The sequence below is a fragment of the Homo sapiens genome, chromosome 1 (assembly GCF_000001405.40).
Source record: "Homo sapiens chromosome 1, GRCh38.p14 Primary Assembly".
NCBI classification, from domain to species: domain Eukaryota; kingdom Metazoa; phylum Chordata; class Mammalia; order Primates; family Hominidae; genus Homo; species Homo sapiens.
Window position 1 is genome coordinate 18229297 of NC_000001.11, and position 23236 is coordinate 18252532.

General features: G+C 48.2%; 1 protein-coding gene across 3 annotated transcripts in view, besides 2 other annotated features; it reads left to right on the forward strand.

Annotated features, from left to right (window-relative positions):
* Positions 1–23236, forward strand: part of IGSF21 (immunoglobin superfamily member 21) — a 270686-nt gene that overhangs the window by 121499 nt on the left and 125951 nt on the right. The window lies entirely within an intron of this gene.
* Positions 1701–2349: an enhancer, noted in NCBI's record as "H3K27ac-H3K4me1 hESC enhancer chr1:18557491-18558139 (GRCh37/hg19 assembly coordinates)". NCBI's record gives its function as "activates a minimal SCP1, AML or CMV promoter by ChIP-STARR-seq in naive H9 embryonic stem cells {active_cell/tissue: H9 hESC(naive)}" and the evidence as "EXISTENCE:reporter gene assay evidence [ECO:0000049][PMID:30033119]".
* Positions 19686–20186: an enhancer, noted in NCBI's record as "H3K4me1 hESC enhancer chr1:18575476-18575976 (GRCh37/hg19 assembly coordinates)". NCBI's record gives its function as "activates a minimal SCP1, AML or CMV promoter by ChIP-STARR-seq in naive H9 embryonic stem cells {active_cell/tissue: H9 hESC(naive)}" and the evidence as "EXISTENCE:reporter gene assay evidence [ECO:0000049][PMID:30033119]".

Here is a 23236-nt window from a genome sequence, read left to right on the forward strand (position 1 = left end):
CTGTCACCACATCTACACACAGAGCATGGAAACTCAGTGTTAGAGGAATCCCTGGGGCATGCGTGCTGTTCATAGTCTTGACTCAGAACAGCTCTCTTCAGTCTCCTTCTTGCTCTTGGTCCAGGTGAGCTTTGAACCAGCCTGTCTTGGCTGCTCTGCTTTGCATTTTCGGTCTCTGATTCATGGTTTGCTTGTTGTTGCTATTTTGTTGGCTGTGATCTGCACTCCTTCTAACCAAAAATCATAGTTCTCTATTTCAGCATTGCAGTCTCTCCTGTTTAGAGTTAATTCTAGTGCCCTCCACCCAAGCTCTTCAGGTAGCCTGGGCTTCACAGGTGTGAACCTGACATCCAGCACCCTAGAGGGTCCCAGCCTTAAGGAAGGGTGCCATCCTGGATAGATCAGTGGGCCTAGAGAAAGTCAAGGCATATGTTAAATAGTGCCATGAACTGAATCACTAAGAGGTGTATTTACAGGATATGGGAACTGCTTGGCTGACACAGGCTGGGAGCATCTCATTAGCACCTGGCAGAAGGACAGGGATAAATTAACTCCAGCTCACTGCTGATGATGGGACCACATCTCTCCCTCAGCCATCCCATAGATGGGATCAGAGGGAGGGGTGGTGAAAGACAGATAGAAATATGGAGACCCAGTGGGAACAGTTAATGGAGCGAAATGGAAGGAAGTTTGGAGATGGGAAAATAGCAGTGGGCACCTCATTGCCTTCCAAGCTCTTGAAGCAACTGTCCTCCCTCCGGTTTGAAATCGAATGTTACCATAGTCACAGTGGTGAAAATCTCCCTGCAGAGGCTCCTGCTGGAGTTATGGGCAATGCTAGTGCCAGGCTGTGCCCAGGTGTAGAAGCCAGGAGCAGGTTTCCACATGGCTTGACTTGATGTTCTTGAAGATGGTGAGCAGGACTGGGGCAGGAGGATCCATGTCCTGGGCTGGACAGAGACTCTCCTTTTTCTTCGCCATCCTCCGGTAGGGAGACCCTCCTCTCTCCCCCACTCTTGCTGCCTAACCTTGATGCCACTGGTAGTTTTAAGAATCAGTGGCATCTCTTACCATTGTCAGGCGCTGCATATCGGGCCATGGTAGGCTGCACTAATTAATTTATTTTATTTCATTTCACATCCTTTGACTGAGGGCCTCTGGAGCAGGCATATGCAGATGTATGCAAATCACATGCAAATCACCCACTAGAGCCAAATGCCTGGGCCCTTGTAATTCTGTAGCTGGACGGAGGTGGTGGCTCAGCTGACTGGTTACTGTCCTCAGGTCTCAGGGAGCCCACGTGCCCGCCTATGATGGGAAGGATGGGGGCAGAGGAAGGAAGGAAATTCCAGGGAAGGGCTCCGTGTGGCCAGTTTTTGCTTTCTGCCACTCTAGCTTTCTCTAGTGATTGTCTCTCTTCCCAAAGAGGCAGCTGAAGGGAGAGAGATAAGAGCCTACCAAGATGGGGGCTCCAGGAGTCAAGGTCAGGGCAGGGCTTCCAGAGGGAATGGGAGCAGCAGCAACAGGAGCTCCAGTCTCCTTCTCCAGCCAGACCCTCCTCTGACCCCTTCCTCCCCTGCCAGACGAACCCCCCACTGTGGCTTCCTTCCCCATCTCCCTCTCCCCGCAGCCTGCCCCCCTCCTCCAAGCAGGGAGCTGCCGAGTGCTGTTTGTTTTCTGTACGTGTGTTTGCTTCCCGTCCCAGCTTCCTTTCTCCATCCTCCGTGAATGAGCTTACAGAGCCCGGCTTGGAAGGAAATGAATAGATTACACAGGCCCAGTCAGGACTGTGGCTCCAACCCCGTTAGAAGGAAGAAGCAGGGCATTGTGATGAGGCCGCCACTGCCTGCTCAGCACAGTGGGCACAAAATGGCCCAAAACATGTGTCAAGCCCAGCAGCCTCCCCTCTGGTCCTAAATACATTATCTTAGCAAAGGGATCATCCTGAGCTGTCAGAAAACATCATGAATGCATTGGATTCTTTGGGTAAATCAGGGCAGCTGATGAAATTATCTGAAGCCATAGGGATCACCTAACCTTGGAGCTAACAAAACCTCTGGCTGGATATTTGGGAAGGTCTTGCTTGTGGACCCCTCAAGGGAGGGGAAGGAAATTGGGAGGAAGCGGCAAGAGCCTGACTCTTGGACACTTTACCCCCATGGTCTGGCCAAGTGGGGAGGAGCTCAGCCCGTTTGTAGAATAAGATGCCAAAACTATGAGAATAGACTCAAGGAAGTATGTGTAATCATAGCCCCTTGGTCTGGGTTGTCCAATATGGTAGCCACCAGTCACACGTGGATGTTAACATTTAAATTAAATCAAATTAATTTTAAAATTCATTTCCTCAGTCAGACTAGCCACATTTCAAGTGCTCACTAGCCACCTATAGCTGGTGGCCTCCATATTGGACAGATGAAGTATAGCACGTTCCCATCACTGCAGGAAGTTTCACTGGATAACCTGCTGTAGAACATTGAGATTTTCTTTTGCAGCCTCTGGAATACACTGTGCTCACCTGACAAGAGAATAGCAGTGAGTGATCATTGAGTCAGTTTTCCAGGCAAACTTGCCCTGAAATGAATTTTAGTAAGATGGATCTCATTTGGTAACCTGACATCATTAGATCGTGTGTGTGTGTGTGTGTGTGTGTGTGTGTGTGTGTGTGGTGAGGGAGGGTGAAAAAAGGGAGATGGTCATCATGCTCAAATCACTTCTTTGAAAACATAAAGATGTCAAGAGAGTTGTCATCCCTCTAAGGTGCTGAGTATCGTAGTTGTCTATTAAAGCCCTGTCCAACTTGAGGATGCTTTTCACCATCCCCCTCTGCTTTCTCCACTGTTACATGGGTTCATCTCCCAGATTTGAGTGTCCAGGCTTCATCTTCACAGCTCATATAGATAAGCTCCAGACAGCTTTTTTTTGGCTAATAGAGTAGGGGTGCAATTCCATATTTCACCAGTAGGAGGCTGTCAGCTAATAACTAATCTACCCTAGCACTTAAGTTGGGACTTGGTTCAAGAAAATGAATAATAAATAATGTTCTTTACTTAATCATTCCTATTTACATCTGTAACTGGGGACTTATTTATTAATGCTGCTTATACTAATTTGAGTGGCTGACATTATTGAGCCTTTACTATGTGTGAGCACTAGATCAAGTGCTTTACATACGTGATGACATTTCATTTTCATATTTTCACTGAAAGGTAGATACTATGATTAATTCTATTTTCCAGATGAAGAAACTGAGGCCATTCGAAGAGACTGTGTCTCGGGTCATGTTGCCTTCCCTGACTTCTCCAGAAAGCTGTAGGCACACCCTCCTCCATGAATCCTCTGTGTGGGTCTTTACACTAGTGCTTACCTCATCATGTCAAAATACCTGCCCCTGGACCATGACTATCTGAAGAGCAAAGACTGTCTTTTCTCCTGCTGTATTCTTGACACCTAGAGCAGAGTCACCTCAGTGAACATTTGCTAAATTAACAAATCATGGAGCTATAATGTGCACCTGTTGACAGACCATGCTATGTAGCCCACTTCTGTCTCATGTGGGCATCTGTGTAATGTTGATAGTATCTGTTGGTCAGGGGGTGGGGAGTGTGGGTCTTTGGATACTCAGGGGGCTTTGTTAAGTATGAAGGAAAAGGGAACATTTCTTATTAGGAAACACTGTCTGAACTCATTTGGTTGGAGGCCGCCTGCCCAGCAGGCAAAGCCGAAGGTCTGTTTATATCATGGAACTCCATTAAACAGCCACAGAGAATCATGGGAGTTTAACCTTTTACAGCAGTTTTTATCATCCCTCCTTTGTTTTCTCTCCTTCTTTTACAATTTGTTCCCAGGAGCCACTCTGGGCCCAGGTTACAAGGCCACAGAAAAGAGAGCCAGATAGAGAGAGAAGGAGATCTACAAACAGTGATAACATCCCTGCTTTCAGTACCCCTTTATCTCACCTTTTTCACCATGTGGGAAGATGCATACCTGGGTGTGTGTTTTGTGGTGCAGATGATGCGACCTCGCCAGGTGATCGTCCCCTCTGGGTTCTGCTGGATGCCTCTGCAATGAGGGTTTGTGGTTGCTTGGGACCATTTGAAAAGGAATTGAGACTAGAGGCTGGGAAGGCTGAGGTAGGAAGAGAGAGGACTTGAGCATCAGAATACCTGTGTGTGAGTTTGACCTTGGGTGGTGACCTAACCTTTCAGCCTTTTAGAAACTTCACCTGAAATTGGGCATGAAAACATGTATTTTGTAAGCTTAAATGAGATAATGTCTGCAACCAAAAGACCCCATTGTTCAGCTCATTGTGGCACCTATTCAATGATAGCTATTGTCATTTCATGTCTGTTGATAGCTTACAGGATCTAGAGAGGGAAATTATAGAATAAGAGGGGAAGGTATTTGGGGAGGATCACCACGGTTAGATTCCTTGAATTCCATCCTACCACCTGCATTCCCAAGGGATATGGGCAGAGACAACGCTTTAAATGGTTATGCTGGTGAACTCACTGGGTTTCAATTCTTGGAAACCCAGTGGCTTAACACAGTTAAGCCATTTCAATGGATTTTAGCTCTCCCTGAAACAGGGAGCTATTTCAAAATGGCTTTACTATCATTGGCTCTCTCTCAGTCCCAGCCCTTCACAATGTTTCATTATTTGAAGCAAAACTGAAAATGATGATCCTAAGGAGACAGGAAACAATACAGTCCAACCATATCATAAGGGCAAGAAGGTAGGTACACTCTCGGGTGACCAAGAGAGACCAGCACCAAGGTCCCAGAGGATGGGTCTAGACAACCCCTTTGGCCCTTCTTGCTTGGCAGCCACTCATCCTGGCTGCTCTTTGCTACTCCTCTGACCCCACATTCTGATCTTGAGTTCAGATCTTACAGATATAAGTCTGGAAAAGGATGTGAGTGAGGAAGACAAAAGCCAGGGTTGAGCCAACCCAACTTGCCTTGTCTAGGCCTCCTTCCCCAACCCCTGGCCTTCCAAAGAGCCAGGTTCTCCCTGATGAGGTATGTCCAGTGCTCAGTCTTATCATATCAGTCACATGGGAAGGAAGAGAAGGCAGCCAGAGAGGGCCCACCAAACAATAGTTGATTTTACAACAAATGTAATAACACATAAACAGGAAATAAGAACAAGTTCCCAGGTCTACTTCCATTGTAATCTGTATTCGTCTGTTCTTATGCTGCTATAAAGAACTGCTTAATACTGGGTAATTTATAAAGGAAAGAGGTTTAATTAACTCACAATTCTGCAGGGCTGGGGAGGCCTCAGGAAACTTACAATCATGGTGGAAGGGGAAGCGAACACGTCCTTCTTCACATGGTGGCAGGGAGAAGTGCCAGCAGGGGAAATGCCAGGTGCTTATAAAACCATCATGTCTTGTGAGAACTCACTATCATGAGAACAGCATGGGGAAAACCATCTCCATGATCCAATCACCTCCCACCGAGTCCCTTTCACGAACTTGGGAACCACAGTTCAAGACGAGATTTGGGTGGGGGCACAGCCAAACCATATCACAATCCTTTAATTCAACCCCAAGGAAAACTCCACCCCTAACCACAGCTGTTAAGTTGTAACCATCCAGACTCATCACACTGAGCTCCTCCTCCTGGGGATGGGGTGATGGGAGAAACCTTCAGCTCCCTCTAGAGGCCAGAGTGTGAATCACAATCATTGCAGCCCTGATCCTTGATCTTTAATGGAAGTTCTATTGGAAACCGGCAGGGGTACCTGACTCTGACAGCTCATTAGACTTCTCAGAGGCCACTAAAAATACACTGTTGTCTGAGACTCATTCTACAGTTATTGAATCTGAATTTCCAGGACTGGAGCCTCAGGGCATTTGTACTTTTAACGAGTTCCCCAGATGACAGTGACGCACTCAACCCAGCCACGGAGCATGTCATGGCGTTTGTGAAACTCTGATAGAGGGAGCTGTTCCATGCACTCATCCAACATTAATTCAACACATATTTATGAAACCAGGATGGTTCTAGGCACTGGGATTTCATCAAGGAAGAAGACAAGATCCTGTGCTCACACAGTTTACCATGGGGGAGGAGTTAAAAAGATAAACAAATAAGGAAGATACCAGCTAATGATAAGCGCAGTGCATATAATTAAAATCGAGTGGTGGGATAGAAAGAGATTGTGTGGTCAGGAAAAGACATTTAAGCTGAGATCGCAAAGGCAACAGGAAACCTACCATGCCAAGGGAAGAAGGCAGAATAATCCAGGCAGAGGGGAAAGCAAATGCAAGACAGTTCTGTGGGAAAAAGCTTTGTGTGTTCAAATAACAGAAAGTGCATGTGGCTGGAACAAAACGAATAGGGGGTGATGTTGGAAAAATGGGCAGAGACCGTTCATACCAGGCCCTGTGCTGTAAGAAACTGAATCTGGAGTTATTCTAAGGGCACCAGGAAGCATTGAGTTTAAGCAGAGAAGTAACAGGGTCTGGTTTACTTTATTAAAAAGGTCACTTCTGGGTGGAGAATGGTTTGCAGAGGAGGTGAGAAACTGGCAGCAGAGGGGTCACTTGGAGGTTAGAATAGTTCAGGCAAGAGGCAACAGTGGTTTGGTTGACTACCAGGATGGTGGTAGTGGAGATGATGGAAGGGAAAAATGTTCTGCTTATGATTTGCAGGTAGAAGTTAAGGGCTTGCTAACATGTGGAAGGGATGAGAGAAGGGGGGATTCAGGATGACTCCCTGCTTTGGGGCTTCGGCTGGGTTTGCAGGAGCAGTGCTATTTAATGAGACAGGGAGGACAGGACAGGAGAAGCAGGTTGCAAGGTGATATGGTTTGGCTATGTCCCCACCCAAATCTCAGTTTGAATTGTAATAATTTCCATGTGTCAAGGGTGGGGCCAGGTGGAGATAATTGAATCATGGGGGCAGCTTCCCCCATACTGTTCTCCTGGTAGTGAATAAGTCTCATGAGATCTGATGGTTTTATAAATGGGAGTTCCCCTGCACAAGATCCTCTTGCCTGCCACCATGTAAGATGTGACTTTGATTCTCATTTGCCTTCCACCATGACTGTGAGGCCTCCTCAGCCATGTGGAACTGTGAGTTCATTAAACTGTCCTTTTATAAATTACCCAGTCCCAGGTTTGTCTTTATTAGCAGTGTAAGAACAGACTATTACACAGGGACAGGCGTCAAGCACTCTCTGTTGGCTATGTTAAGCTGGGAGTGCCTCTAAGACATGGAGATGGAGCTGCTGCAGCCGCTATTGAGGCCACAAATCTGGAATGTTGGGGAGAGGTGAAGCCTGGAGACTTATACTTGGCATTGTCAGAGAATGGATGGTACCCAGTGCTAGACCCTTGGGCACTCCAATATTTAGAGATAGAAAAGTAGACCAACAGAGAGGCTGAGAAGGAGGAGGAACAGCCAGCAAGATGTGAAGACGGTGAGGAGTGGAGTGTCCTGGATTCCAAGAAAAGAAAGTGGTTTCAGAAATAGTAGAGTCAGCTGTCAGCTAGCTGTGTCTCACACTCCAGTGAGTGACTTGAGAGCAGAGAAATGACCATGAACTTGGTAACATATGGAGCCCACTGGGGACCTGGGCAAGGGCAGATTCCTTGGAGGTCGTGGGGGCTAATGCCTAGCTAGAGTGGGCTGAGGGGTGCATTGAGATCAGCAGTAACATGGCCTTGAGATTTTGTCTAGTAAAGAGTTTTGAGCTTGAACATCTGAACAAACCTTTGCAAGTAACATGAAGACCCAATTGCTTCTATTGAATCCACTCCTATTTGCATGTCATTCATAAAATTACAAGCCCACTGTCTTTTCCTACCATCCTTAGCCTTTCAATCTGGGACTGGTGGCAGCCTCGCTCTCCTCATCGAGAATGTGAAAGTGGCAGCCGAGAGCGTTTAGGGGATTCTAGTGTAATTAAAAAATGCATTTGGTATTTGAAAGAAAAATCCTGCTCTACCATTTAATTAACTCAGTGGCCTTGGATGACAACTATTCCCAAAACTTCCTAGGCACTGTACACAGGTCTGAAGGTATAAAGAAGGACAGGTGGGCCCACTCCCCTCGAGGGGAGCGCTTCCCGTCCAGTTGCCCATCATCAAGTTGTTAAGTTCTGTTTCATCACCTGGCCAATGGGCTTGACTGCACTTTCCCTAAGGATCTCACAAAGATTTGTGCAAAACAGACGAAAAGCCCCACAGACGAGCTGCTTCTGTCCCCCGTGGCGCAGGGGAAATAGGCTTCACATATATTACTTCATCTTCTCTTTTCCGCCTGGGCAAATCTTACTCATTCTCTCCTCTGTGAAGCCTTCTGACCCCTCTCACCAAAGCAGAATTAAGAGATCACCTGCTGTGTTCTCTCAGCGTTTTGTACATTCTTCAATTAGAGAGACAGCACCTGGTAGCTTAGTTATTCATCTTTGCATCTCTTGCGGAGTTTTATTTTTCCGCTTCTCCTATGTGTCATTCATAAAATTACAAGTCCATTGTCTTTAGCCTTTCAATCTGGAACTGGTAGCAGCCTTGCACTCCTCCTTGAAAATGTGAAAGTGGCTTCCCAGAGAGTTTAGGGGATTCCAATGTAATTAAACAATATATTTGGTATTTGAAAGAAAGATCCCGCTCTAGCCCTTCATTTATGAATGATCCTTGGGCCAGGGATTCTATGTGGGGGCCTCAGGGTCCCTAGGAAATATGTGGATGGGCTTCTGGGGGTGCTCAAACCCCAGAAAATATGCCTAATATGTTGTGTGTGTTTTTGTGGGAGAAAGGTGCAGAATATTCTCAAAGGACTCTGTGATGCCCCCATGCCCCAACTGAAAAACCCAGGAAATGCAACAGCAGGCATGCAGGTGTTCGCTGAGTGTGAAATGTGTAGGGCATCTCATTATCTCCACTCTTGGGTCATCAAGGTCCATATTTAGGTTGGCTCTACCAGACCCTGTAGCTGCGAGGTTGTGCCAGATGGCCCATGAGTGGTCCACGAGCTTCCAAGGAGTGCAGTGGGGAATGGGGGTGAGAGGTGAGGCAGTCAACCTTAGGCAGGAAGAGCTGCTGTGTGATTGGGATCCGTCCAGACACCACAGCTCAGTCAGCCTGGATTTGTGCACAGATGCCCTTGGACGGGAAGAGGAGATAAGAAGCAGGGTGGTGGGGGAAGACTGGCTTTGGCCACACATCACTGTTCTCCCTGGCTTGAAGGGGAGCGGTTTTTGACCAAGCAAATCCATCTTCTCTTGGGGATTAAGATCAGTTTCTGATAATGGCAAGGAGACCACTTCCCTGGTCCACATGGGGTTGATAAGAGCTCTTGGCTTCCAAACTCTTGAGAGGGGGTGCCAACAGCTGAAGTGGACACCCAAATAACCAGGTGTTTTGTTAGACCACATGCAGAGTCCACCAGTGATGGGCTCCCACACTGCATGGGTGAGAAAGACACGGCATATCTAAGGATAACACACTGATGGCTCAGCTCACTTCACTTACCAAGAAAAGAAAAGAGCAAGGGCCTGGGACACACCATCCTGCTGTGTGATCTTGAAAAAACCACAACCCCTCTCTGAGCTCCAGGATCTTCATAGGTAAAATAAAAGCGTGCAGTGAGATGGTCTCTAAGGAATATGCAGCCTCTCTCCCACCTTGCGGTCAACCTCCCCACCCCGCTATCTTTTCCCCAGAAGACTCAGAGCTAATGGAAGAGGTGGGTGCCTCCCAGGTCAGGGCACCCCCCAGCTGAGGCTTGAACAATGCTTTCTCAGGGGTGAGAGTCCTGGCCTGAGCTACTACTGTTGGGGCCTCCGAGCACATGGAATCCGGAAGTATATTAAGCCCAAAGTGTGATTTCCAGCAGATTCTTCCTGGCTTTCCTATGCCCTGTTGGGTTTAAATGACAAAGGGGCTGACTTAACTTGTCGGAAAAGGATTAAAGGTGAACTTCAGCTCCAGCACACCAGTGAAAAGAAAAGAACATGACTGAAATGAGGGATGTTTCCCAGCTCAGACTCACCATCCCTCCTAAATCCTTTCTCCCCTCCTCTCCCCACATTTTCCTTGTTGGGTGTGAGCTCCCACAGGGCAGGCAGTCTTCCCGTTGCAGACAGGCACAGCCGTGTGCTTTTCTAAAACACATATCTGACCTTACCACGACCACCCCTCCCTGCCCCACACTTCGCAAGAGCTTCTCATCACCTGAAAGACCAAGTTCAAGGTCATTGGCCCAGCATACAAGGTTCTTCTTGATTCAACCTCTGTTGACTGATTTCTTCAGCCTTGCTTCCTACCACGTTCCCAAATGGGCCCACCATTCGAATCATATGGCTGATTTGCAGTTCTCAGAATGTGCCAACGTTCTTTCCCACCTCCGAGCTGGTGCATATGTGCTGTCTCTGCGTGCAATGCCCTTCTCCCCTCCATCTGGTCAACTCCTACTTGCCCTCCAAGGCCCAGCTTCAGTGTTGCCCCCCCTCCCCGCCACCAGAGGCTTTTCCCCATCCATTTTTCCCCCTTCAATCTTCTTCCACATTCAACTGCCATGACCCAGGCTGAGTTAGCTTCTCATAACACTCTCAAAATACTAAGCACGTGACCATATGACTCAACACACTGGACTCATGTGTTCATTTTTGCAGCAGATATTTCTTGAGTACCAACTAGTGCCAAGCCTTGGGAATAGAGCACAGAATAAGAACAATGGGCTGGGCACACACAGGCTGTGGCTCATGCCTGTAATCCCAGCACTTTGGAAAGCTGAGAAGGATAGATCGCTTGACCCCAGAAGTTCAAGAACATCCTGGGCAACCTGACAAAACCCCATCTCTATAAAAACACAGAAAAATTAACCAGGCATGGTGGTGCTTACACCTGTAGTCCCAGCTACTCAAGAGGCTGAGGTGGGAGGATGGATTGAGCCCAGGAGGTCAAAGCTGCAGTGAGCTGTGATTGCACCGCTGCACTCCAGCCTGGAGGACAGAAAGAGACCCTGTCTCAAAAACAAAAACAAAGAAACCCAAAACAAATACGCAAAACAAGGTAGCCCTGTCTTTTGTGGAGCTTGTAGTTAAGCGGGAGGAAACAGGTATTACATGAAAGACTGTCAAATAAATGCTTCTTTCAAATTGTGGTCACCGCTTTGACAGAGAAAGACAGGTGTCTGCTTGCTGAGAGCTCATAGTAGGAGATGAACTGTAATAGTTGAATGTCTCTCTCCCAGAATGCAAACCCTTTGCTGGCAGTGACCAGGTGTCCTGTTTGTCTTTCTCTCCTGAGTGTCTAGCATGATGCTGAGCACATAGCTTAGAGGATGGATGGTTGGATGGATGGATAGATGTATGCATGGATGGATATCTTATGTGGCCCTGAGGGTCACAGAGGTAAACTTGTAGTTGATGAGGTTAATAACTTTCCCACAGTTGGAGCTTTTCAACCATGGATGGGCTGTCTTAAGGACTGGTGGACTTCCTAACCCTGGAAATGTCTAAGCAAATGGCATGGCCACCTGTCAAAACTGCAGTAGGAAGTAATCCTGGGCCCAGTGCACCCAGAGCTATTGACCCTATTTGTTTCAGCTCTGGAATTCTGTGCTGCCTCAAGCTCAGCTGCGCAGCCATGATATCATGACAAGGGGTAAGAAGCAGAGTGTCCAGCCAACCTGGCTAGTTGGGGTTGAGTATGGGGCTTCTGTGGAAATCAGGCATCAGAAAGTTCCAGATTCCCCAGGAGTAGGGTTATGTGACTGTTCTGAGAAGCAGACATGTGTGGCTGTAAATGTCCAGAGAAAGTGCCCCACCCTTGAGTGAACATTCAAAGGTGAGGCCAGGGGACACCTGGGAGTTGAGAGGAGGGGGAGGATGTGAACGAATTTTATAGGGTTCAGAAGTCCACTCCACAACTTATGGCCTTATACAAAGCATCTCTGTCCATGCCACACTGCTTTAAACACATCAGTGATGCCTTTCCATGGTTCTTAGGATACAGACAAATATCCCTGGTGTTGCCATACAGGACTTTGCATTGTCTGGCCCCTGCCTGCCCCTCGAGGCTCCTCTCCCAGTATGCACCCATAAGTGAAGATTCTGGGGATATCAGAGACCTCAGAGAGCCTTGAGAGAAGGAGGTAGAAGGACTAGAGTCAGGGAGACTGAGGTTAGGTGAGGTTAAGCAACTTGCTCAAAGTCCTGCTGCTAGATAGTGGTTGAGTCAAACTTCAAAACCCAACTCTCTGACTACAAAGTTCAGCTCTTTCTGTTAGGTCCCATTGAAGGCCATAAATACCCTGTTAGGGGTTGGAGGGATTTCCCCCTGAGCGATGGGCAGTATGAGGACTGGACCCTCGAATGCGCTGAATCCCTCTGGCTTGGGGAGCCTGTGGCAGGTAAGACAAGCCTTCCTCCCATCTCCCTCATATCATCATGAATGCCACTGCTGTAGCGGTGCGTTCAGGTCAGGTGCTGCGCTAGGTATGTTACAAAGATCACCTCACTGAATCCATACAGGAATCACAAGATGCCGGTACAGTTGTCCATTTTAGGGTTGGGGACATTGAGGCTCAGAGAAGTTAACTAACTGACCCCAAGTCTTGCATATGGTAAGGCGGAAGGGGTTTGTCTGAGTCCCCTTAGAGCAGCCCAGCCTTCTCACTCTAAGCTGATGGAGTGGTCTGGATCCCCCTTTGGGAAGCTCTGTGGCCTCCTCCGTGGGGGAGAGATGGAGATGGCCTGGGGGCAGAGGAGCTTCTGGACATGGCTGCTTCAGGCTGTCCTCATCATCACCCTGCCGGAGCCATCTGTCTGCAGTAGTGCTGCGGCACAGATCCACACAGAGGCTGTCAACGTCAAATGAGGACTTGAGGGAAAACAGCTTCCACCCTGCAGAGATGACACAGGCAGCACGGTTCACCTACTCTGAGATGACACAGGCAGCATGGTTCACCTACTCTCAGCACGGCAGAGCAGACAGGTGTAAGGAAGGGCCCCTTCTCCCCCACGCTGCCTCCCTGCATGCCCCTCCCAAGCTGGACTCTCTTTTGGTGAATGGTGGAAAATGTCTAGCAAAACCGTCCACGGCTGAGGCTGCTTCCAGTCATGGCACACAGACCTCAGGAATCCCATTAATGAGAGGGATGGCTTCTGAATTGGATACCATTCTTCAAGAAAGGAAGTTGTATTATTATTATTTTATTATTTTGCAAAGTGGTAGAGTAACTCAAATGAGTCTAAACAAGTATTGTCAAGTAGTGGTTCTTGGGGGACCTGCTGTAATGGCTATAATAGTCATTTCAATTGGCACATTAATTATATGGGAGCAGGTGCTTCTAAAATAATTGAGGGTGTAAGAAGGCTGTTTATTTCCTTACGTGCTTTCAACGTTCCCCTTCAACCCTCTTTACTCTATGAATATCAAGTCATGCAAAGCCTGTTCTTTGGAGACAGAGAAGTGAAGCCTGTCTGAAATCGCAGGCTCTAATTTAGGGAAGTCTCCAGTTTATTCGTTCATCCCTTCATCCCTCCAGGTAGAGAACTAACACCTGCAGAAAACCTTGGCAGGGCCTTGGCTGCAGCCTAGAGATGCCATCCCTGGCTCACACTCTGCTGGGGGGGACAGGTGTCATGTGACCCGCACCCTTGTCTGGAGCTATTCAAGAGTGAGGAAGGGACAGTGGGCATGGCAAGTAGAGGTGAGAGCAGGTGCAAAGGCCTGGGGGTGGCCCATCTGACTCCCATCAGGCGCTCAGTGAAGGGTCAGGAAGAGGGGAGGCAGGAGGAGGAGGCTGAGGGCAATCAGGGACCTATGCCAAGTCTGGGGTGCCCTGCAATGGAGCTTGAGCTATATCCAAGGGGAACAGTCAAGAAATTTTAAACACAAAAGCATCATCATTCGATTTTAGGAAGCTCTGGACCCCTCCCTAGAGATGTCTGATAAGCATCTCAGACTTAACATGGCCAAAGCAAAGCTCTGCATTTCTTCCCTAAACCTACCCCTCCCTTAGTCTTCTCCACCTCAGCGAACGGCATCACCATCCACCAGTTTCCGAAGCGAAAAATCTAGGGCGTCTCTCCTATCACATCTCATCCCTTGCCCCTGCCCACTCCCCGCATCTCTTCCATCGAATCCGTTCTAAAAGACAAGCCCTGAATCCACTGCTTCTTCCCCATTCCTGGGCCTCCAAGCCAGCTGAAGCCTCTATCACTACTTCAAGTCAGCACCCTCCTGATCACACTCTCTGCTTCCACTCTTGTCCCCTCAGCCCCCAAATCCAGTATCCACCAAGCAGCCAGAGTGACCTTTTGAAATCAGAACAGTCTTATCATTCCTCAGTTTTGCCTGATACTTAACAATAAAACCCGGGAGGCACCACCCGGTCTGGCACTGCCCCTTTCTGGCCTCGCCCACTCCACTACCTCCCACCACACCAGCCTCATTTGGGTTCTGTAAACAGGAGCCAGCCCACACCTCCAGATCCACGATGTGCAGGCCCTTGTGTTGGGTGCTGCTGGGATTTCAAAGATGAGCAGCATGAACCCTGAGGAGCGAGCATATGGACCAGCAGTGAAGATGCTGCTTTGCCAAGGTGCCTCTAGAGACAGAAAGATCCAAGAGCAACTCCTGCCTCCACCTCTTCCTCTGTCACCTCCCCCATTCTCCATATCTGTGTCTATAAAATGGGATGGTGATAATAGCACTGACCTCGTGGAGGGCCATGACAGCAACCATGCAACCAAGCATGCCTGGAACAGTCCAGATGGCGCTTGTTATCTGAGGGTGACTGTTAAGAGCAACCCTTGTTCAGCCTCAAAAGTGCCTGATTTGGACGACAAATGACACTTTTGCCAATGCAGCATTCTGGAAGCGCTTTGCAAATGTCGTTTCTCAGGATGGTGCTCTACTTCTCTGTGCACATAGACCATGGGACAGATTCAAGGGCAGCGCTCCATGCATTGCCCCCGGTCGGGAGATTTCTTAAGCTACAACTCTGGGCAATGGTAGAAAGAGGGACGGAGCCCTAGCCTGCCAGATGAAAAGAGCTGACTTTGGAATTCACCTCCCTCTCCCTTTCCAGCATGGACCATGGGCCTTGATCCCACCTAGGTGTTGGGCTGTGATGGGCAGGACAGGAATCACGGTTTAAGGGGTTGTTGCAGGTGATGCTGGGTGGGCCTTTCTCTGTGTCTGAAAGCTCGTGAAGGAAAGGCAACCCAGTCACCCAGGAGTGGACTCAATGCCGGAACAATGGATCCCTTGCACAAGTCCAGCTGCATTGCTGACCTATGTGGCCTTTCCAAACTGTGCCATACGTAGAGCCTGTTGCTTCATCTTTCAGCAAATAGTTATTGAGAGCCCTCTGTGTCTCAGGCCTGGTGCTGGATGCTGCCACAGAGGCCCCTGCCCTGGTGGAATAAAGGAAACTGGTAATTGCACATTGATCTTCTATGCAGACATCTTACTGACACTTATCAGTGCTAATAGATTTTTTTTATTTTGATCTTTTGCATTATGATGTGAAAATATTATCTGCAAATAATAATAATAATAATACTTCTCCTCTCAATGCCTGAGAGACAGCATTTTTAAGGTAGAAAAATGTATATCCTGGAACCAGATCACTTGGATTCAAATTCCAGCATTGCCACTTAGAAGCTGTGTGACTTTTAACAAGTTACTTAACCTCTCTGTGCTCCAGTTTCCTCATCTCATGTAATGAACTTAGGACAGTGCCTGACGCTATATAAATATTGGTAGGGCTATACTTATTGAACTGATTATAATTTCTTGCCTTATTCCATTGTCTAAAATTTCCAGAATGCTTGTAAAAAAGGGTTTCCCTGTCTTATTCCTAGTTTTCATAGGAATGCATTTATAATTTTAACATTGCATATGATACTTCCTGCTGGCTTCTGATAAATATTCTTTTTTGTTATGAATAGGAAGGTTACTTCTATTCCAATTTCACCTAGAATTTTTATAAAGAAAAATTAATTAAATGCTCCTTAAAAATCTATTGAAATAATCATATGGTTTTTCTCCTTTAATTTACTAATGTAATGAATTATGTTGATGTTTTTCCTAATATTGAGCCTCCATTGGGTTTTTGTAATTTCTTTAAACAAATAGCTTGTGTAGCAAATTAAAAGAGCTCTCAAGTATTTGTTTTTTTATTATTATAAATGGGATCTTTTTCATTGGATTTTCTGTGGGTCTCTGGGATGTAAGAATGCAATTGATTTTTTGTGGCTTTATCTTGCATCCTACAAATTAGATGAATTCATTTTTTTTCTCTTTAATAAGCATGTAGTGCTTTCTCTGAGTTGTCTAGGCATCCAGTCTCCCCAGCTGATATTTTTGTTTCCTTCTTTCCTGTATTTTTAGATCTATTGCATTTAGCAATGAGCAAGCATGTGTTGAGTGCCTACTATGTGCCAGGCACTGGGCTAGGATCTGTTTCCTCTGCTGCTGTTGCTGCTGCTTGGCAGGGTGGGTGGTTGGAGTACCCTCTTCAGCTGGAATATTGAGAGCAGGGGCCTTATGAGGGAATGAATCCCAGGAGGTCCCAAACCACTTAGAGTCAGATCAGGATTCAAACACATTAACCCTCAGGTCAGGCTGCCTCCTGACCGATGACTCTCCCCTTCAAGGGGCAGGGGTAATTAACCTTGACAAAGAAGGGGAAACCAAAGCTTGGGAATGCAGCAGTCATTTCTGGCCTGGAGGTGAAGATAGATGCCCTTACCCTGCAACCTGGCCTTGAATGGTCCAGCTCTCTGACCTTCTTTTTGTTCTTGCATCTGGGACTTGCTGCTATTAAACAGGAGTGAAAGTCCCAGTTATATTTTGTTTCTCTTGAGCAGCATCCCAGCTCTGGGGGGTGTGAGATGGCATGGCAGCATGCTGCCATCCCAGGCCCTCCCTGAGTCTGTGAATGAGGCCCTCTTGCTTCCTGGGTGAATGTCACTAAGAGGCTGATGGCATCTCAGTGCCCAGTGGGCCCCCCTCACTGCCTGGCATGACTCTTGCTGCCTCAGGTCCCACCCCTTCCTGCCTATAGATTTGCCCTTGGTTTTTGAGCTAATTACTCCGTCTCATCACTGCACTGACTCTTCCCAGCATCTGACAGCCCTATGAGCGTGTATCTTGTAATCTCCCTTCACCTAACACAAGTCAGCTTAATTATGCATGTGGAGCTTAGGACTCCAACCTCCAGGCTCATACTCTGCAATTATTTCTGTGGTCTTGTCCCCTCTGGCTTCCTGCAAAGATGGCAGCTGGTGTCTTGCTGTGGAGTCCCTGGAGTTACACCCTACACGGGGTGCCTGACTGAGAAGGCAGAGGGAGCTAGCTCGGTATGTGCTGTAATCTCCAAACTCCATGCTTGGGACATCTTTTATTAATTCACACTAAATTGCAGTGTGGTTTGTGGCAACCTGTCTAGCGCACCCTGGCGGCACCAAAGAGCTGCCCTGTCCACACCAACAACAGGCTTGGGAGCCTCCCAGGATCCCGGGAAGTCCTCAGGCTCTGCACCCTGCCCCAGGCTCTTGGCAGACTCTGTGAAGCTCAACACATCTGAGTTTGGAAGCTGCTTTGGACTCAGGGAGAAGAGAGCGAATCTTTGTTGGTTATTGATGCTGAGCCAGGCACTAAGCTAAGAGCTCTCCATGCACCACCGGAAGGAGGAACTACAAGTAGCTCCATTGTATAGACAAGAAAACTGAGGCGCAGAGACGTGATGTGAATTCCCAAAAGTTGCAGAGCTGGAATTCTTTTTTTTTTTTTTTTTTTTGAGACAGAGTCTTGCTCTGTCGCCCAGGCTGGAGTGCAGTGGCACGATCTCTGCACAGCTGGACTTTGAACCCAGTGCTTCTAACTCCAGACTGCCACTCTACCCGTTTTCTTGTTCCCTTGAGATGGTCAGGGGATGTGAACCTTCCACTTCACAGGGGCTGCCAGCCTTGGTGACCCCAGGATGGGGGCCAGCTCTGTCAGGCTTCTGGAGGCAAGACTGGGTGCCTGGACTGTGCTGGGGATTGAAGGAGCAGGTACATCCCCTTCCTCCCCTGGGCCATCAACTCCTTCATCCGCCTGGGACCTGCTGCCAGCCTCATCCACCACGTGTCTTTGTTGCCCTGGGTGGTGGCAGGGAATGAGGGTGCCATCCTTTGAGTGTGAGCTTCTGGAGCTCTTACACTCAAAGCATCAGAGGTGAAAGTGGCAGGAGAGTGCCCAGCCAGGAACCATGGGCCAGGAAGCAGCCCATCCTCGGAGGTGGCAGGTCACTGGCCTGTCAAAGCCTCCATTCCCTTATCTGCAAAATGAGAGAAGTAACGCCCCTGGATGGGGTATCGCAGGGAGAAAATGACATCACTCTGGCAAGGGCTGGCAAATAATATCAATACCAATAACAAGCTACTGTTTATTGAGCACTGACTATAGACCAAATGCTGTCTAAACACTTACATATATCAGCTTATTTAATCCCCATAGCAACCCTAGGGGTGGGTACTGTCATTGTCCCCATTCTATAGATGAGGAGACAGAGACACAGAAAGGCAATCATTTGCTCAAGATCCCACAGGATTTGAAGTGGGATTCAAACTCTGGTGGTTTGGCTTCAGCATCTACACTCTCATTTAGTACCTTCTTTAAAATGTTAGTTCCTCCCCCAAACTCCAGCCCCACACACACGCAGTCTGCCCAGGCAAATAGAGCCATTAGCTATAGGTGTGAGCACTCCAGTTAAAAATTCCAGGGATTAAAGCATCTACACTGGCAAGGATAGAAGTGTCTACACTGCAAGGAGGATTTTTCCTCTAGTGCTGGAGAGAAATGTGCACGTAACACCACCAAAGGAGATGCAACCAGGTTATTGGGGTTATAAATGTCCCCTAAGCTGAGCTTCTGCCTCTACTTCCCTTTTGTTTCTTCAACACTCCCCACAAGAGGCTGTGTACACAGTGGGAGCCTGGCTGATGCTGGCTAACTGGACTCTGAAGGGAGACACTGCAACGCATTTCGAGCTGCCAGAATTAACCCCTCTGTACATCTCAAAACTTTGCACAGCATAGCGGGGGCTTTGGGCAGCCTGTCGGAGGTTGATTTCTGTGATCTGGTGAAATTCTGTGGCGTGATTGATAGATTGCCTTTGTAGAAAAGTGATGCTGGGATTTTCCATTAGAACAGGGAGGCTCGCTGTTGTGGCTTTCTAGAAGGTCAGAGGGTAGGAGCTGGGAAAATGCTACCCAAGCAGACAGACAGTCTCCTTCTTGGGGCCTTGAGAGATTCATTCAATGTGTTCACTTCATGCCTGCCGTGGTGCTTAAGACACAGATATTGATAAGATAATATCTGACAAGTCCACATGGCGAGTTCTCCGGTGCAAGGTGCTCTGGGTGAAAATCCTTCATTCCTCCAACATTCCCACACCATTCCTTTACTTAACAAATAGTTACCGGGCCCCTACAGGGGTGTCAGGCCCTGTGCTAGTTGCTGAGACTAAATATAGCGTTGAACGAGATAGGCAAGTTCTCTCTACACCCAAGGAGCTTACATCCTGTTGGGATGCAGAGCAGGTAGGCCTGACCTGCTTGGTAAGTGATGGAGGGGTACATAGCATGGACCCCCCCAAGCCAGACTCGAGTGGTCAAGGTTGGCTTCGCAGGGGAAGAAAAGTATACACTAAGGTTTGAAGAATGAGTAGAACCTAGCTGGGAGCCTGCGCAGGCCTCCTAAAATGAGAGAAAGTGTGGCACCCCCGCCCAAATTAAACTGGATCATGCGTTTGGAGGCCAGACAGGGAGGAGGAAAGGAATGGATAGCAGCCAGAGAGGTGGGCAGGACCCAGATCAGGTATTCACCTTGGTGAGATGCTTGAACCTTACCTGGAGAACAAAGGGGAGCCATTCTTCTTAAGCAGAGGAGCAGCATGGTCTTATCTGCTTGCTAGCTGTGAGGTCCTTGAACTGGGATTAGGGGAGGGTGGGAGGTGTAAGGACAGGGCAAGGGCTCCAGGTTGAGGGCAGCTGCAGCCATTCAGGTGAAAGTGATGGCAGCCCGAGTTAGGGGATCAGCAGTTGGGGGTGGATCATGGGCAATAGGTGGGTGGCCAGGTGCCTGCTAGACACACCGCACAGTGAACAGATGGCTGAGTGAGAACGTGGAGGCTGCTTCACCAGATGCAGAAGGTGAGGGAGAGGGAAAGGTGGTGTGGGAAGGGGCAGCTGTACGTGCAAAAGCAGTGTGGACATTGGGGGCAGCCTCTCTGGGCTTGGAGAGCTCAGCCGGCACAGTTAGATGGCCGCCCTGAATGAAGCCCAAGCTGTTTTGCCCCCGTGGTGTCTCTCACCCCGCTGTGCCTATAAATCTCTCTGGTTGGGGCCAGAGGAATGGCCCAGAGCCATGCAGCAAGAGAAGAAGTTTCAGTTTTTCAAATAACACCTGCCAACAGTTGCTCTGATTCTAGATGCTAGGTTTTGCCTCCCTTTCCTCTACTGGCCCACAGTTGTGGATGGGAAACCCACTGGCACGGGTGCTGGCAACAGTCAGACTGCACCCCAGGCCCTGGCTCTGGACCACCTTCCCTTTGTGTGTCTTCAGCCTCATTTCCTGCTGCCAGGGGAGGCATTGGCAGGATCTGACTCTGCTGCCGGCTCTGCCATGAGGCAGGCTGCTCCCCTCCTTTCCCTGGGGAGAGAGGTGTGGACACGGAGGAGGCAGTTGGGGCCCCAGTGCCCAACATGGTCTCTGTGTCTCTGTCTCTCTCTTTCTCCTCCCCTCCCTCCTCCCTCCCCCCTTCCATCCCCCACTCCCTCCCTCGCTCCCTCCCTCCCTCCCTCCCTCCCTCCCTCCCTCTCCTGCTCTCTCTTAGTTCAATTTGTACAGGCTTTTCAGAGACCCCAGGGAATTCACATGTGTATTGCTTTGTAAATGTTCTGACGATGCTCTCAGGTGCCAGGGCTGTGTCTTCAGCATCAGTTTGGGAGTTCCTTCAGGAGCAAATGACTGCATCTCCCTCAACAGACTGGGAACCCCTGAGGCCAAGGGCTGAATGAAGAGAAATTACTAAAGACAGAGTAAGTGCTTTTGCACGTACAGCTGCCCCGTCCACACCACTTTTCCCTCTCCCTCACCTTCTGCATCTGGTGAAGCAGCCTCCATGTTCTCACTCAGCCGTGTGTTCACTGTGCAGTGTGTCTAACAGGCACCTGGCCACCCACCCGTCACCCATCGCTGTCTCTCCCTCTCTTCTTTGTGCTGTCTCATAAAGAGATATGTAATTAAACTACCTTCAAACATTATATGGCGAAAATTATAAACTAGAAAGAGGATCGCCAGGTAGTTAAAGCCAGGTTGAAATCTCGGCTCTGCCATTTACTGGTTTTAACCTCTCTGGACCTCAGTTTCCTCTTGTGCTAAGTGGGGATAGTAACTCTAAACTCACAGAGCCATAAAAGTTAATATTCCCAGTCTACAAGCATTTATAAAGTGCCTGAGTGCCAGGAACTATTCTAGGCACCAGGATGTAATGGTGAATAAGACAAACAAGATCTCTGCTTTAGTGGGGTGAGGAGACAGACCATTAATTAATTAATTAGCAAGAAAATATCAGATAATGATAAGTGTGGTGTAGATAATTTCAGGTGATGTGATAGAGAGTAACTGGGGCTTCTTAGATCAGCTGGCCAGAAAAGATGCCTCTGGGGAAGTGACATTGAAGCTGAGCTCTATATGACAAGGAGTTAGCCAAGCAAAGACCTGAGGGAAGAGCATGCCAGGCAGAGAGGGTATCTATGGATGGGATGAGCGTGGTCACACTGTCAAGGGATTAGACTGTGTTCTTGGAAAATAGGCAAAGGAAAGGGGAACACAAGTCAGGGCGGTGACAGGGCTTTCTCACATTGGGCTTTGTAGATCTTATTCTTAGCATAATAGGACTTAGTGGAGAGTCTTAGGTGGAGAGTGACATGATCTAATTTAGGTTTCAAAAAAAATTATCTGGCTGTTGTGCATAGACTGGACTGTAGGGGAGTGTGCTAGTCAGGAGAGCCTGCGTTGTGCCCCACTAACAAAATAATCCTCAAATCTCAATGGTTTGTTACAACAAAGGTTTATTTCTTATTCACGGAAAGTTGGATATGAGTCTGGCAAATCTCCAGAGCTACTCTCTTCCATGAAGTGACTCAGGGATCCAGGCTCATTTTGTCTTGTAGTTCCATCCTCTCAATATGCACAGTTACCATCCAAAGGGGGCACAAAACCAAGAGAGTCATGTGGATTGCTCTTATGGGCCAGTCTGGAGGTGGCTTAAGTCATTTCCACTCATTGTGTCCATCCACACGGATGCAACTGTGAGGGAGGCTGAGAAAGTGTAGTTTTACTGGATGCCCAGGAAGAGGATAATGAAACAAGATTTGGGGATCATACAGCTGTTTCTGCTAAGGACAGAAGTGTGTATATGGAGGCTCTCCCAATCTTCCTGACTAGGAGAGCTAAGAGGCTCTCCTAGTCTTCCTGATGAGGGATGATGGTGGCCTGCATGTGAGAAGTGGCAATGAGGATGCAGGGAAGTGGACACATGTAACATTCATACAACACTTGGTACTATGGCTAAGCAGTAGGCCCCCACTACACAATAGCTCTTATTTTAATATCCTTTATAATTAAAACACCTTAATCTTTCTTTACAAGATGAAGTCATATTTGCCAAATGGGTTTTCTCTGATTTCACAAGGTCAATAGGCTGGAACACTTTCTGACCAAGGCGTTTTTTTTTTTTTTTTTTTTTTTGAGATGGAGTCTCCCTCTGTCACCCCGGCTGGAGTGCAGTGGTGCAATCTCGGCTCACTGCAAGCTCCGCCTCCTGGGTCCATGCCATTCTCCTGCCTCAGCCTCCCAAGTAGCTGGGACTACAGGCGCCTGCCACCATGCCCGGCTAATTTTTTGTATTTTTAGTAGAAATGGGGTTTCACCGTGTTATCAGGATGGTCTCGATCTCCTGACCTCGCGATCCACCCACCTCGGCCTCCCAAAGTGCTGGGATTACAGACATGAGCCACTGCACCCGGCCTGACCAAGGCTTTTTTAAAGACATGCTCATAAAACCTTGGAATGTAGTAATGGCTTTTAGAGATGTTCAAGTCTTCCTTCTGCATTTTAACAGGTAGAAAGAGTGAGTGCTTCAGAGGTGGCCGTAGCTTTGCTCCAGTCACAGAGGCAGTCGACATCTAAGCAGGGGCCAGGGCCAGGGCCCA